Source organism: Homo sapiens, chromosome 1 (assembly GCF_000001405.40).
Source record: "Homo sapiens chromosome 1, GRCh38.p14 Primary Assembly".
NCBI lineage: Eukaryota > Metazoa > Chordata > Mammalia > Primates > Hominidae > Homo > Homo sapiens.
In genome coordinates, this window is record NC_000001.11 from 195,573,641 (window position 1) to 195,591,567 (window position 17,927).

At 34.9% G+C, this 17,927-nt stretch overlaps 1 long non-coding RNA gene across 1 annotated transcript in view; it reads right to left on the reverse strand.

Moving 5' to 3' along the window:
- Positions 1-759: 759 nt before the first annotated feature.
- LOC105371671 (uncharacterized) overlaps positions 760-17,927 on the reverse strand; it is a 147,500-nt gene continuing 130,332 nt past the window's right edge. Inside the window, exon 3 of the long non-coding RNA XR_922391.1 lies at positions 760-1,165. This is a non-coding gene — a long non-coding RNA (uncharacterized LOC105371671). The remainder of the gene's footprint in view (positions 1,166-17,927) is intronic.

Consider the following 17,927-nt stretch of genomic DNA (forward strand, 5'->3'; position numbering starts at 1 on the left):
TTCTCAAAAGAAGACATACAAATGACTAATGACTACATATCACTAATTGTCAGGGAAATATAAACTATAATGAGCTATGACCTCACATCTGTTGAAGTGACTGTTACCCAAAAAATGAAAAGAAAAAGAAAAAAATAATAAATGTTGTCAAGGATGTAGAGAAAAAGGAAACTTTTTTTTTTTTTTTTTTTTTGAGACGGAGTCTTGCTCTGTCACCCAGGCTGGAGTGCAGTGGCGCAGTGGCGCGATCTCGGCTCACTGCAAGCTCCGCCTTGTGGGTTCACGCCATTCTCCTGCCTCAGCCTCCCGAGTAGCTGGGACTACAGGCACCCACCACCACGCCTGGCTAATTTTTTGTATTTTTAGTAGAGACGGGGTTTCACCATGTTAGCCAGGATGGTCTCGATCTCCTGACCTCGTGATCCACCTGCCTCAGCCTCCCACAAGTGCCAGAATTACAAGCGTGAGCCACCATGCCCCAACAGGAAACTCTTATATACTGTTGGTAGGAATATAAATTAGTACAGCCATTATAGAAAACAGTATAGAGGTTCCCCCCAAAATTAAACACTGAACTATCTTATGATCTAGCAGTCTCACTCCTGGGTATATAGCCAAAGAAAATGAAATCACCATGTCAAAGATACCATTTATTACAGTATTATTCACAAGATATAGCATCAACCTAAGTGTCCATCAAAAGATGCATGGATAAAGAAATTGTGCTGTATATATATGATGGAATACTTTACAGCCATAGAAAAGAAGGAAATCTTTTCATTTTTGACAAATGGATGAACCTGGAGGACATTCTGCTAACTAAAATAAGTCAGAAACAGACAAACACCACATAATCTCATTCATCTGTAGAATCTAATAAAGTTATCTCAGAAATGGAGTAGAATGGCAATTACCAGAGGCTGGGGCAGATGGGTAAGGGTAGGTTGGTAAGATATTAATCAAAATACATAGTATTATTGTAAATGGGAAGAATAACTTTCAAAGATCTGTTGTACAGCATAGTGAGTATAGTTAATGAGGATATACTGTATTCTTGAAAAATGCTGAGGTAGGAGAATCCCTTAAGCCCAGGAATTTGAGGTGGCAGTGAGCTGTGATCAACACCACTGCACTCCAGACAGCTCAGCAAAGTGAGAACCAGTCTCTGAAACAAAAAGAAAAAGAAAAATGCTAAGAGAGTGAATGTTAAATGTTCTCAATATAAAAATGACAAATATGTGAAGTATCATATTTGTTAATTAGGTAGATTGAACCATTACACAATGCATATATATGTTAAGACATCTAGCTGTAGGTGACTAATATATACAGTCTCATCTGTCAACTTAAAAATAAATATATTTAAATAATCATATACTAGATAGTATGTGCTGAACATAACAGTATCCCACAATATGAAATTGTCAATAACTTGACATTTTGGAAAATTTGAAATTAGAATGATAATTAAAAGTTATTCTGGTGGAGACACAAGGAATGGGATGAGAGAAAGTTTTCAGAAAGAATAAGCTTCTTGTACAAAGGAAATATGCATAAAAGAGTAAGGCACATTTTCGTAAGGACAGGTTTTAAAATGTTTAGTATGTAATGTAAAATAAAGTAATTTAAAAAGCTTGAAATATAGCTGAGATTATGAACAACCATAAAGCCAATGGCTAATAAGTTGACAATATCTCATAAAGTCTAGAGTGAACCATTTTCAACATTCTGTTTTCTAGAGTTTGTTTTCCCTTCTGTCCATCCATATTTTTTATTGTATGCTCATTTATCCACAACGATAATTCTTTCACTGGTTTTGATCAGAACTCCATGTATATAAAAAATCCTCAATTATCACATATTTTCCTGAAAATTGTGTACTAACAGGATGAAGTCATTTCACCTATTTTAACAGCGCTCTGCCACTTTCCTTCTCATTTTTTCTCTATCTTCCTCCCCAAACTTGTTTCCCTCTGTTATACAAATGAGTTTCCTTTGGAAATCTGGTACAAGTTATCCTTGGATCTAGAAACTTCATAACTAGAAGAGTTACCAAAGTATTCTTCCTCAAAGGTAAGTCTCTAATTAAAGGAAATATTTGAGCCACCTGCTCAGAGAACAGTTTCTATTGGCAAAAATTGCAATTACCTTTGCATCAACCTAATAATCCATTTTATTATATACTATCCTGATGAGAACAAATACTACACACACTTATTGAGGAAAACCTACTCTTTTCCTTACTATTACTTTAACATATGTAAATTAGGGTTTGGTGTGATTAAAAATTGTATAATTAACTGTTATGATTTCTTCTTTAAAATGAAGTAAAAGTAATTATCAAATAACTATTTATTTTGCAGAAAGAAATCTAACTCTTGGATCTTGCGAAACATGCCCTGTTTTCAAACACATAAAAATAAACAGTTTGTACCAATCATTTAACTGAGTGTTTTATCTTTTAAAAATCATTCTTCTATGCAAACAGACATGGGTTCTCATGACCCTAGTATACATTTATTGTTACCTAATTTCAGATCCTTGCTTTCTATATTTGTAATATTATATAACACCTACACAGTAGAGCTATTATAGGAATTATTGATAAAATATGCATAGTGCCTAAGACAGGTGGTAATCAATATTTGAATCAAAATAATGCTCTCTCCTTGAAAACTGCAACACACACACACACGCATACATACATACATCCATAATATTTTAATGTATACATTTTGGGGTAAATGGAATAAGCAAAATAAGTAATTGAACACATGCTCAAAGAAAAATATTTTATTTCAAAATCATATTCATATCAAATATGGTGGTTTTCCAATTCACTATTCCAAATATAGGCCATTCAATACAATGATATATTAAGGCTCAGTTATTCTACATATATACAGTGACTATCTTTTTCCATGTGTTTTAGTTCTGCTTCTGTATTTAGCTGTCAATAAACCAACAGATTAAAGCTGTAGCTGTTACATAGCATTAGAGCTATTCTTTAGAGAGGCTAATAATTTTAATTCTAGGCTTCAGATTTGCCTGTCTAAAGTAAACCATTTTCCATTCTTATTGCAGGTTCATTTCCATTCTGAAGTAGTGGCCATTCATTTTCCCTTTCACCCTCTGAACAGAGCTGTTTGAGTGTATTTAGTTCAATTGACTTTACATGTGCTCCAGGTGCCATTCTCTGCTACAGCTCTGCTTCACTGCTTACAGATGAAGCTCAGCCTAAGCAGTGTTTAATTCCCTAACAAGCTGTCATCTGTGACTTGCATATATTTTTAACTGGGCTACCACAGTACACACAAAGCAATGTAATATTAAATAAAGGTCCATTCTAACTTGAATTGGGTTGGGTATTTCCACAAAGCAAAATAGAAACTAAATAACAGGCTTCCAATCTCTTAGGCCATATAAACGTCTGGACAATGATTTAAAAAGTGATGCTAGAGCAGAGTCTTATTTTCATAAAACAGCTAAAAATTCGTAAACTCATTCATCCCTTTAAAAGATGAATCAATGCACTGAATTCCAATCAATGAACACACAGTCAATAAAAAGCTTCATTGCATTTTTTTTTTTTGACTGAGTCTCGCTCTGTCACCCAGGCTGAAGTGCAAGTGCAGTGGCGTGATCTCAGCTCACTGCAACTTCTGCCTCCCTGGTTCCAGCGATTCTCCTGCCTCAGCTTCCTGAGTAGCTGAGATTACAGGAGTCTTCGTCCATGCCTGCCTAATTATTTTATTTTTAGTAGAGACAGGGTTTAGCCATGTTGCCCAGGCTAGTCTCGAACTCCTGACCTCAGGTCATCCACCCGCCTCAACCTCCCAAAGTGCTGGGATTACAGGCATGAGCCACCGAGCCCTGCCCATTGCTTTTTAAAGGACTGAAAATATTACCTTTACAAGGTGCTTTTTGCATCACAATTATTTCACTGTAAGCCCATTAAAAACTAGAAACAAAACACCATTCATTATTGTTTTGTGTACCTCCATGAGCTAATTTGACATTATAAAGTGGTATATTGTTATATGGGAATTTTTCATTTTCTCACAGACAGTGAAATTCCACTAAGATACACATGCTCCCTTATTGTAGCAATTTTAATTTTCACACCAAAATAAGCCATGCATTTTGTTGTTCTTGTTAAAACCAAACACAGAGAAAATAGTATGTTTGTTGCCATGTTTCCTGGGCCTGCCTGACCTCACTTCCATTACTCAATGTTCACTTGTTTGGCTGTCTAAACAGGGTCAACATGTCCAAGACGCAGTCTTCAGGCTCCAGTGTTATCTGCTTTCCAGCTCAGTCCACCACAGGCATTGCTGACAGGAGATTAGAGTGTACAATGAGAAATAAGCTATAGCATTTTTCCTTCTCCTCTTAAATAAGGTGATGTTTCTGGCAGCAGTTCTGACTCTTCATGGCTCCAGTTTCTCTGCTCTACAGGCCACGCTGCTAGATCCTATTTGGTGATTCCTGCTCTTGGCATCTTATAACCCATAGTGGTACACTGAACAATGCCCCCCCACCAAAAATGTCCACACCTTAATCCCTGGAACCTAAGAATTTGTTACCTTACATAGCAAAAGGGACTTTATACATGTGATTACGTTGAAAGTGTATAAATAGAGAGATTATCCTTGATTATTTGGGTGGGTTCAGTATAATAGGAGAGTCAGAGTTAGAGAAAATGATGCGACCGCAACCACAGAGATTGGAGACATTCAGAGCCAGGCATGAATCAAGAAATATGGGGAGCCTCTAGAAGCTGGACAAAGAAAAGAAATTTTTTCTTCCCTAGAACCTCCAAAGGAACCCATCTCTGCTGACATATTTTGAACTTTTGACTTCTACAATTGTGAGTTAATAAACCTGTGTTGATTTAAGCCATATCATTTGTGGTATTATGCTACAATAACAATAAAACTCAAACATCCATTTATTTCCTTTGCCTCTAAATCCACTTGTAATACTATTTTCCTGTACCTGTTAAACTCTACTGGGCTTTCTACTTTTGACCCTTGAATTCCATTGTAAGAATGTAACCAAACACCTACATTAAATATCTTGTGTGATCCACTTCCAATATTGACCATGACTGAATAACTTGTGTCACTGTAAAACTCTTATCAATATCAACTACAATAGCCAAGAATTTTTTTTTAACCTGAAGTAACAACTGTTTGAAAGCTCTTGAAAGCAACTAAGGTATCCAGGATTTGAAGTCCAATATTCTGAAGAGTGGGAAAGTAACTAGAAGCTTTATTTTTCTCTACAAATTTTTTCTTCAAGGCATTTGCCTGTTCCTCACAGGTGAAACAGAAGTTTAGCACAAAGAGGTAGCCTGGAACCCATTGTATCTCACTAGGCTGAGAAGTCCAGTGTGGGTTTCTGGCCTTACAAAATAAATAAGCATAAGAGTACAAGTTTCTACCTATGTCGGCAAAGGCCATGTGGGAAGTGTAGAGTTCAAACCTTTCCAGGCATGTTATGTCCACCACATGCCAGGGTGGTGTCAGAGAAGGCTAAGTAGTGAACCAGGACTGAATACAGCCAGGCAATAACAAGGCCTCCTCCCAGTGGTATCAATGGAGACCACCAGGAGATCCTGGAGTTATCCATACCCTCTGCTGGTACCAAAGCACCAATGCCCCTCTTATCTGGGATGGAGTCACAGGAGACCTGGTGAAGAGTTAAGACATTTTCCATAGACCGGTGATAACAAGAGCACTCTAGCCTATGTAGGGAATAGTAATTAGGCAATACTATTCCTTCAATAAAGGCAGGTATCACTAGAGGCCTGGGGAAAAGCCAGAACTTTTATTTTAGCTAGGCTGTGTGGAGGAGACCTACCCCACTTGTGTCAATTGCAGCAGTACTTAGAAACTAGACTTTCAACTCCGCTTAACAGTAATTATTCAGGGCCCCCTCTTTCTGCTGAAGTGATATAAGCAGCAGCTAGCTAAACAAAAGATTTAAATAATACTGAAAGCATAAAAACATAATACCTAAAATGTATAGAACTCACTTGAAAATCAATCATCATACCAAGATCCAGAAAAATATAACTTTCAATAAAAAGAGACAATCAGTAGATGCCAGCACCAAGAAGTCAGAGGCTTTAGAATTCTTTGACAATGATTTATAAAAACCATGATGAAAATGATTCACTCATCAGTTAAAATCTACTTTAAACACATAAAATAACTTGAAACAGAGATAGTCTTAGCAAAAATTAAAGATGTAAAAAAGAACCAAATGGTATTTTAAAACTGAAAAGTACAATAAGCAAAATATCCAAGTATTAGAGTTATCGAAGGAGAGAAAAAAGCAGGTAGGGCTCAGCAGTATTCAAAGAAATAATGGCAAAAACTACCCATATTTTGTAAAGGATATAAACCTACATATTCAAGAAATTGAGTGAAGCCCAAACATGAGAAACTCAAAGAAATCTAAATGGAGAAACAATAAAATCAAACTTCTATAGGATAGAGACAAAGGAAAAACCTTGAAAGCAGTCAGAGAGACATGACACCCTCTCTACAGGGAATACTATCCTAAAGACATCAAATTTCTTATTGAAAACCAAAAAGACCATGGGGAAATGACACATCATTTTTCAAAGATTGAAGGAAATGATTTATCAAGTTAAAATTCTACATGCAGTAAAAAGTATGCTTCATGGAAGAGAATACAGAGCCCAGAAATGAACACTTGAACATTTGGTCAATTATTTTTAACAGTGGGGTAAGCATATTCAATGGAGGAAAGGATCAACATGCAAAAGGATGAAGTTAGATCCTTATCTTACACTATATACCAGCATTAACTCAAAAGGTATCAAAAACTTAAACGTAGTATATAAAACTGTAAACCATCTGGCCGGGCGTGGTAGCTCACACCTGTAATCCCAGCACTTTGGGAGGCCGAGGCGGTTGGATCACAAGGTCAGGAAATCGAGACCATCCTGGCTAAGACAGTGAAAACCTGTCTCTACTAAAAATATAAAAAATTAGCTGGGTGTGGTGGCGGGCGCCTGTAGTCCCAGCTATTCAGGAGGCTGAGGCAGGAGAATCGCTTGAACCCGGGAGGCGGAGGTTGCAGCGAGCCGAGATCGCACCACTGCACTCCAGCCTGGGTGACAGAGCAAGACTCCGTCTCAAAAAAAAAAAAAAAAAAAAAAAAAAAAAAAGCTGTAAACCATCGTAGAAATGAATATTAGGAAGTGTTTCATGACACAATAATTTCTTAAATATGAAACCAAAAGCACAAACAACAAAAGAATAAATAAACTGGACTGCATTCTAATTTCAAACTTTTGTCCATCAAAAGATGCAGTTGGTTTATGTTTTTTTTTATTCCTCGCTCCCAATTCCCATTTTTTAATTGAGGTATTTAGAATAGTTACATAGACTGTAGTTATTAATATGCCAGCTCTTAAATCTGACATTTAATCTTGTATTTTTTTATTTTGTTTTCCTTTTTCTGCCTTTTTGTGCATTATTTCAATTCATTTTGGTTTAAATGTGGTGTTTCTGAGCGTTGATATTGGTATTAATGTGTCAGTGGTGGCTTTGGGTATTACATCATATATACAACCTATCACAGCCTACTGGTAGTCATGTTTCCACTTTGAGTGAATTGCAGAAACCTGATCTCCCTTTGTATCCTATTACTTTTCACTATTGAAAATTATTTAAAATACATACTTGATGTAAAATTATTTAAAATATACACTTAACATCCCAGCAGTGCTGTCGTTTTTGTATCAACCTTTAACCATAATTTAGACAACTCAAGAAGCTAGTTGTTTATATTTATCTACATTTGTACTTTGTAATTTGTTCTTTCTCCCTTTCTGATGTTCCAATATTCCTTTTCTTGTAATTTCTTTTCCGTCTATACTACTTTCTTCTTTCCAGGTAGAGCTGCTGGCAACAGATTCTCTTAGTTTTCCATCATCTGAGCTTATTTAGATTTTCCCTTCATTCTTGCAGTTATTTTTTAGTTGCGGTAAAAATGTACGTAAAATAAAATATGCCATCTTAACAATTTTAAGAGTACAGTCCAGTGCTATTAATTGCATTTATGATGTTGTGCAACCATCAACATTGTCCATCTCCAGAACTATTCTATCTTCACAAACTGAAAAAATACATTATATATTAAAGATACATAAAAAATACATAATATATTAAAGAAAGTTCTTCGGACACAACATACTTACGAAATAATAACTTCCCATTCCCCCTCTTTCAAGTCCACCATTCTACTTTCTGTTTCTATGAATCTGATGATACTAGATATCTCATATTAATGGAAACATACAGTATTTGTCTTTTTCAACTGGCTTATTTGACTTAGCATAACTTCTTCAAGGTTTATCCATGTCATGACATATGTCAAAATTTCATTTCTTTTGAAAGCTGAATAATATTATTATGTAACACCACAACTTGTTTATCCATTCATTTGTGGATGGACGCACATTTGGCTCTTTCCACTTTTTGTCTATTGTTACTAAAACTACTATGAACATTCGTGTGCAAATATCTGTTTGAGTCTGCTTTTACTCTTGGGTAGATATGTCAGAAGTGGAATTGCTGGATCACATGATAATTCTACATTTAAATTTTGGAGAAGCCACCATACTATTTTCCAGAGTAGCTGCACCATTTTACATTTACATTTCCACCAGCAATTCACAAGAGTTTTAAACTGAACTAATTTACATTCTCACCAACAGTGTATAAACACTCATTTTGTCTGCATCCTCACCAATATCTGTTATTTTTGACTTTTCAATAATGCCCATTCTGACTGGTTTGACATGGTATCTCATTGTGGTTTTGATTTGTGTTCCTCTAATGATTAGTGATGCTGCGCATTTTTTCATGTGTTTATTTACTGCATGTATATCTTCTTTTAAGAAGTGTCTGTTCATGTCCTTTAATATAGGACCCAAATAACACGAATTGCCAAAGCAATCCTATGCAAAAAGAGCAAAGCCAGAGGAATCACATGACCAGACGTCAAGCTATAGTACAAGTCTACAATAACCAAAACAGCATGGTACTGGTATAAAAAGAGACACAATAGGCCGGGCATGATGGCTCATGCCTGTAATCCCAGCACTTTGGGAAGCCAAGGTGGGCGGATCACCTGAGGTCAGGAGTTCGAGACCAGTCTGGCCAACATGGTGAAATCCTATCTCTACTAAAAATACAATAATTAGCTGGGCATGTGGCGGGCGCCTGTAATCCCAGCTATCTGGGAGGCTGAGGCAGGAGAATCACTGGGAGGCAGAGGTTGCAGTGAGCTGAGATCATGCCACTGCACTCCAGCCTGGGCGATAAAATGAGACTCCCTCTCAAAAAAAAAATAAAATAAAAAATAGACACGATAAACACAAAGACCAATGGAACAGGATATAGAACCCAGAAATAAAGCTGCACACCTACAACCATCTGATCTTTGACAAAGTCAACAAAAACAAGCAATGGGGAAATGACTCCCTATTCAATAAATGGTGCTGAGAAAACTGACTAGCCATATACAGATGAAACTAGAGCCCTAACTTCTTACGTTTTATTAATTATATATATATACACACACACACACACATCAACATATATTTTAAATTTAAAATTATATATTATACTATTACTTATGCATTTTATATATGTTATACTATAACATTATATATTATTTTATTATATATTATAATATAACATATATATTTTATATATGTGTGTGTGTGTGTGTGTGTGTGTGTGTGTCAAGGTGGATTAAAGACTTAAATGTATGACTTGAAACTATAAAATTCCTAAAAGAAAACCTAGGAAAACCATTCTGGACATTGGCATTGGCAAAGAACTTATGACTGAGTCTTCAAAAGTAATTGTAACAAAAATAAAATTTGACAAGGGACCTAATTAAACTAAAGAGCTTCTATATAGCAAACCAAACTATCAACAAAGTGAAAAGATCACCCACAGAATGGGAGAAAATATTTGCAAACTATGCATCTGACAAAGATCTAATAACCAGAATCTATGAGAAAGTTAAACAATTCAAAAAGCCAAAACAAAAATCATTAAATGTTTCTGTCTTAATATAACATTACTAAAATTGTAAAACTGTAGAAGAACAGGTGAAAGGGAAATAGGTGTGGGAATCCTTGTGGTGATGAAAATTTTCTGTATCTTCAATATAATAAGGTCAATTATATTATAGTTTTGCAAGATGGTTTCAGTGGAGAAAATTAATAAAGGATATTTGAAATCACTCAGTATTATTTCTTACAAATGCATGTAAATCTATATGAAAACTTGTCTTAAAGATTATTTGTGACAAAAATGTAATATCTGACTTGGAAAAAATAATGGAAATAATGAAACATTTTCAGAGAAACCAAATTTAAGAAAATGTGTTATCAAAAACCTGCACTAAAAATATATTAAAGAAAGTTCTTCAGACATAACTAAAATAATTTTAGATTAAAAAATTTTAAATTCAGTCTGGTAATGCAGAAGTTTGATGTATATGACTTTTTCATTTGTTTAGTGACTACATTTTATTTATGTCATGTCTTTCTTTTTTCTTCTACTTTTAAAATAATATTCAGTTTTTAAATTCTCACTTTTAACTGAAATATTTAGTCCTATTTACATTTTTCTGATATGTTTGAAATAATATTATCATAACATTATTTATTCTATTCATTCCTTTTTTTTGTTCTTCCCATTGGATTTTTTGCCTTCTTTAGAATAAATTAAATCATCTTTTTATATCATTTCTTTCTCTCTACCTTATTTATTATATCATCTTTTAATAATTATACCTAAGATTACAGTAGTCATTATAAATACATGATATACTGGTGCTTCACCACTTCAAAGCACAGGAAGCAATTTACAATGAATTAAATCTATTTACTCTTTCTCTTGCATTGTTTTGCTACTGTTATCTGGCTTTTAATGCCAGATAAACTCTATACCCCCAAACACATTATTATTTTTAATAGGTTATTATGTTAGTTTTACACATACATTACTTCATTTAGAGTTATTCATTCCTCCCTGCAAGGTTAAGCTGAATTCTAAGAATTTAAATGAGCCACTACGTAGCTGCTACAGAGCAAAAGTCCTTCTGCTTGAGCAAAGTAGAACACAAAGTAAAGGGGACTTTGTCTTACCTTAGGTACCAACACAGCCACAAAAGGGTAAAAAACCAAGCAGACTCTTGAGATCCCTGATTCCAGGACTTGACTCTTAGATGGCATTTTTGGACCTTTTCTGGGACAGAGGACAGCCCACTGCCCTGAAGGGTGAGTCCCAGGCTAGGCAATATTCATGACAAGTGGACTCAAGAGACCTTGGGCCTTGAGGGAGCATCAGCAGTAGCCTGGCAGTACTCCTCATGGCCTGGGGTGGCGGTGGCTGCAGTTTGAGGCTCATCTGTCTTTGGAAAATGGAGAGAGGAGTGGGACAACTGCACCTTGTGGTTTGAGTGCCAGTTCAACCACAGTAGACAAGAACAGCAGTTAGACTTCTAAGGTTTTTGACTCTAATCCCTGAATCCTAAATTATACCTATGGACCCACCTGGGGCCAGGGGGAGCTTGCTGCCCTGAAAGGAAGGACACAGGCCTGGCTGACTTTGTACATTGGCTGACTGTAGAGCCCCAGGTCCTTGAGCAAACACAAGCAGTAGCCAGGGTGTGGTTACAGCAGGCCTTGGGGACCCAGTGCTGTGCTAGCTTCAGGTCTGACTCAGCACAGCCATTAAGGCAGTGACCAAAGGGCCACTACACCCCCAGCTTTAGGTGACTCAGAACAGAGAGAGAGAAAGGCTCTGGTTTTTTTGGAGAAAGTAAGGGAAGAAAACAAGAGTCTCTGCCTCGTGATCCAGAGAATTCTCTCAGATCTTGTCCAAGACCATCAATGTGGACCACTGAGTCTGTAAGAACAGCAGTGTTAGTGGGCTTTGGGTGCCCCTAAAACAGATACGGTTTAGCTCAAAATACCCAAGTCCTTTCAAATATTTAGAAAGCCTTCCCAAGAAGGATAGGTACATGTAAGACCAGACAGTGAAGACTACAATAAATACCTAACTCTTCAATGCCTAGACACTGAAGAACATTTCCTAGCATCAACACCATCCATGAAAATTGACCTCACCAAATGAATTAAATAAGGTACCAGGGACCAATCCTGAAGAAACAGAGATATATGAACATTCAGACAGATAATTCAAAATAACTATGTTGAGGAAAATGAAAATTTCAAGATAACACACAGAAGGAGTTCAGAATTCTACTTTAGTAGCAGAATAGATCAATCCGAAGAAAGAATTAGCTTGAAGACAGGCTACTTGAAAACACATAGTCAGAGGAGACTAAAGAAAAAAGAACAAAAAACAATGAAGCATGCCCACAGGCTTTAGAAAATAGCCTCAAAAGGGGAAATCTAAGAGTCATTAGTCTTAAAAAGAAGGTAGAGAAAGAGATGGGGTAGAAAGTTTCTTCAAAAAGATAATAACAAAGAACTTCCCAAACACAGGGAAAGATACCAATATCCAAACACCAAGCAGATGTAACCCAAAAAATACTACCTTAAGGCATTTAATAATCAAACTCCCCAAAGTCAAGGATAGAGAACGGATTTTAAAAGCAAGAGAAAAGAAACAACATACAATGGCACTCCAATCCATCTGGCAACAAAATTTTCAGTGGAAACCTTACAGGCCAGGAAAGAGTGGCATAACATATTTAAAATGCTGAAGAAAATGTCCTATATTTAAAATGCTGAAGAAAATGTCCTATAATAGTATATCCAGTGAAAATATCCTTCAAACACGAAGGAGAAATAAAGACTTTCCCAGACAAACAAAACCTAAGGGATGTCATCAACATCAGACCTATCCCAGAAGAAATGCTAAAGGAAGTACTTCAATCAGAAAGGAAAGGATGTTAATGAGCAATAATAAATGATCTGAAGGTACAATATTCACTGGTAATAGTAAGCACGCAGAAAAACACAGAATATTGTAACACTGCAACCGTGGTGTGTAAACTACTCATATACTAAGTAGAAAGACTAAACAATGCACCAATCAAAAATAATAACTATAAAAATTTTTAAGACATATTTAATACAGTAAGATATAAACAGAAACAACAAAAAGTTAAAAAGCAAGGAGATGAAGTTAAGGTATATAGTTTGTATTAGTATTATTTTTGCTTATTTGTTTGTTTATGCAAACAGTGTTAAGTTGTCATCAAGTTAAAATAATGGGTTATATGATAGTATATGCAACCTCATGGTAACCTAAAACAAAAAAATACAATAGATACATAAAAAATTCAAAGTAAGAAACTAAACCTTATCACCAAGAAAATCACCTTCATTAAAGGAAGACAAGAATGAAAGAAAGAAAGAAGACCACAAAACAACCAAAAAAAATAGCAGAAATACGTTCTTACTCATCAATAATAACATTAAGTGTAAATTAACTAAACTCTCTAATCAAAAGATATAGAGTACCTGAATAGATGAAATAACGAGGCCCATTGTTCTGTTGCCTACCAGAAACACACTTCACCTGTAAAGACACATATAAACTAAAAATAAAGGGATGGAAAAGTTATTCTATCTTTTTGGAATATCTTGGACAATGGAAACCAGAAAAGAGCAGGAGGTGCTATGCTTATATAAGAAAAAAATGAATTTCAAGACAAAAGCTATAAGAAGAGACAAATAAGGTCACAATATGATGAGAAAGGGGTCGATTCAGCAAGAGAAAATAACAGTTTTAAGTATATATGCACCCAACACTGGACTATATAAAGGAAATATTATTAGAGCTAAAGAGAGAGGTCTCAATACAATAATAGCTGGAGACTTCAACACCTATTTTTAGCATTGGACAGAACTTTCAGACAGACAATCAACAAAGAAACCTTAGACTTGATCTTCACTATTGACCAACTGGATCTGATAGATATTTACAGAACATTTCACTGAACAGCTACAGGGTACGTTCTTTTCCTCAGTTCGTGTATCATTCTCATTGATAGGCGATATGTTAAGACACATAACAAGTCATAAAACATTAAAAAACACTGGAATAATATCAAGCATCTTCTCTGACCACAATGGAATAAAACTAAAAATTAATAACAACAGGAACTTTGGAAACTATACAAACACATGAAAATAAAACAAAATGCTCCTGAATGACAAGTGAGTCAATGAAAAAGTTAAGAAGAAAATAGAAAATACTCTTGAAACAAATGGTAATGGAAACACAACATAGCAAAACCTATGAGATACAGCAAAAGCAGTACTCAGAGGGAAATTTATAGCTATACATGCCTGCATAAAAAAAACAGGAATCATTTAAATAAACAATCTAATATGCATTTTAAAGAACTAAAAAAGCCATAGCAAACTGAACACAAAATTAGTAGAATAAAAGAAATAATAAAGATCAGAGCAGAAATATATGAAATTGAAATAAAAAACAAAAGATATAAAACAAAAAGTTATTTAGTTGCAAAGTTAAACAAAATTGACAAACCTTTAGCCAAAGAAATATGAAAGAAAAAATAAATAAAATCAGAAATTAAAAAGGAGATGTTACAACTGATACTGTGGAAATTCAGTATCAGGATAACTATAATCATAGTGGTTACTATGAGCAACTATATGCCAGTAAATTGGAAAATCTAGAAAAATGGAAACATTCCTAGCACATACAACCTACCAAGATAAAACCAGGAAGAAATTCAAAACCTGAGCAGACCAATTACAAGAAATGAGATTTAAGTGATAATAAAAAGTCTCCCATTAAAGAAAAGCCTGGGACCCGATGTCTTTACTGCTGAATTCTACCAAACACTTAAAGAACTAACACCAGTCATACTAATACTATTCTGAAAAATGGAGGAGGAGGAAATGCTTCCAAACTCATTCTATGAGGCCAGTATTACCCTGATACTGGAACCAGACAAAGATACATAAAAAAAAAAAAGAAAGAAAGAAAGGAAGAAAGGAAGGGAGGAAGGAAGGAAAGAAGAAAGGAAGGAAGGAAAACTACAGACCAACATCTCTGATAAATATTGATGTGAAAATCCTCAATAAAATACTAGCAAATCATATTCAACAATATATTAGAATGATTATTCCTCATGACCTAGTGGAATTTATCTCTGGGATGCAAGGATAGTTCAACATATGCAAATCAATCAATGTGATACATCATATCAACAGAATGAAGGATAAAAACCACATGATCATTACAATTGGTACTGAACAATCACTTTATAAAATACTACATCCTTTCCGATAAAAACTCTCCAAAAACTGGGATAGAAGACACATACATCAACATAATAAAAGCCATATACCACAAAACCACAGCTAGTGACATATTACATGGGGGAAAAAAAGAAAGCGTTTTCTTTAAGATCTGGAACATGACAGGTGTGCCCACTGTCACCACCGTTATTCAACCTTGTGCTGGAAGTCCTAGCTAGATCCATCAGACAAGATAAGGATACAAAGGTATCCAAAATGGAAAGGAAAAAGTCAAATTATTCTTGTTTGCAAATGATATGATTTTATATTTGAAAAACAACTAGAGTCTATGAGAAGACAATTAGAACTAAAAAAATTCAGTAAAGTTGCAAGATAGAAAATCAACATACAAAAATCAGTAGCATTACTGTATGCCAACAGTGAACAATGTCAAAAAGAAATAAAAAAGTAAGCCCATTTACAATCGACACACACAAAATTTAATACTTAGAAATTAACCAAAAAAGTGAAAGAGCTCTATAATGAAACCTATAAAATACCGACAAAAGAATTGAAGAGAACACTAAAAACAAAGAAAAATGTTCCATGTTAATGGGTTGGAAGAGTAAGTATTGTTAAAATGTCCATACTACCAAAAGCAATCTACAGAGTTAATGCAATTTCTATCAAAATACCAATGACATTCTTCACATAAAGAGATAAAAAAGAGGATTCACATTACCTGACTTCAAATTAAAATACAGAGCTGTAGCAACCAAAACAACATGGTCCTCGCTTAGAAACAGACACATGGGCCAATGGAACAGAATAGAGAACTCAGAAACAAATCCACACACCTACAGTGAACTGATTTTCAACAAAGTTTCCAAGAACATACACTGGGGAAAAGACAGTCTCTTCAATAAATTGTGCTGGGAAAACTGCATTTCCATATGCAGAATAACGAAACTAGTATATGGCCATATACAAAAAAAAATCAAAGTGGATTAAAGACTTAAATCTAATACCTGAAACTATTAAACTACTACAAAAAAGCACTGGGGAAATCTTCAGGACATTGGTCTGGGCCAAAATTTCTTGAGTAATACCCCACAAACACAGGCAAACAAAGCAAAAATGGATAAATGAGATCACATCAAGTTAAAAAGCTTCTGCACAGCAAAGTAAACAATCAGTAAATTAAAAGGACAGCTCACAGAAAGGGAGAAAATATTTGCAAACTACGCATCTGACAGGGGACTAATAACCAGAATATATAAGGAACTCAGACTCCTCTACAGAAAAAAATCTAATAATCTGAAAAAAAAAATGGGCAACAGATCTGAATAGAGATTTCTAAAAAGGATACATACAAATGGCAACAGGCATATGAAAAAGTGCTCAATATCACTGATCATCAGAGAAATGCATATCAAAACTGCAATGAGATATTTTCTCACCTCAGTTAAAATGGCTTATATCCAAAAAACAGGCAATAACGAATGCTGGTGAGGATGCGGAGAAAAGAGAACACTTGTACACTGTTGGTGGGAATGTAAATTAGTGCATCCACTATAGAAACAGTTTGGAGGTTTCTCAAAAAACTAAAAAGTTAGTTACCATAAGATCCAGCAATCCCACTGCTGGGTATATATAAAAAAGAAAGGTAATCAGTATATGAAAGAGATATCTGCACTCCTATGTTTGCTGCAGCACTGTTTATAATAGCTAAGATTTGGAAGCAACTAAACGTTCATCAGCAGAATGAAGAAAATGTAGTACATATACACAATGAAGTATCATTCAGCCATAAAAATGAATGAGATCCAGTAATCTGCAATAACATGGATGAAACTGGAGATTATTATGTTAAGTAAAGTAAGCCAGGCACAGAAAGACAAACATCACATGTTCTTACTTATATGTGGGTTATCAAAATCAAAACAGTTGAACTCATGGACTTAGAAAATAGAAGGATGATTATCGGAGGCTGGGAAAGTTAGTGGAGGGCTGGAGGATGGGGGAGGAGAGGATGGTTAACAGGAAAGAAAATATTTGAAAAGAATGAATAAGACCTACTATTTGATCGCACAACAGGGTGACTATAATTGGTAACAACTTAATCGTACATTTTAAAATAACTTAAAGAGCATAATTGGATTGTTTATAACTCAAATAATAAATGCTTGAGGGGAGAGATACCCCATTCCTCATGATGTGCTTATTTCACATTGCATGCCGATAACAAAACATTTTGTTTAGTCCCATAAATAGGTACACCTACTGTGTACCCACATTTTTTAATCTAAAAAATAATTAAATGAGCCACTATATTGAATGAATGTGCTAATATTTACAGTATATCTCAAATAATACTAAAAAGTAAACATGAAGAGGGTAAGTGGAGGGCAAGAAAAGGTGAGAAAACCAAGCGAACTAATACAAATATCTAATGAAAATAGCAGCAAAGAAATTAGTGTGAAAATAGGGTGGGAAGGGAATATAGTGATGGACATTACTTAAGGAGTAAAACCTCACTAGACTAAAGATGTTATGTAAATAGTCTTGATACATTATATATTATGATACTTTTATCACAATGATATTTGCATGT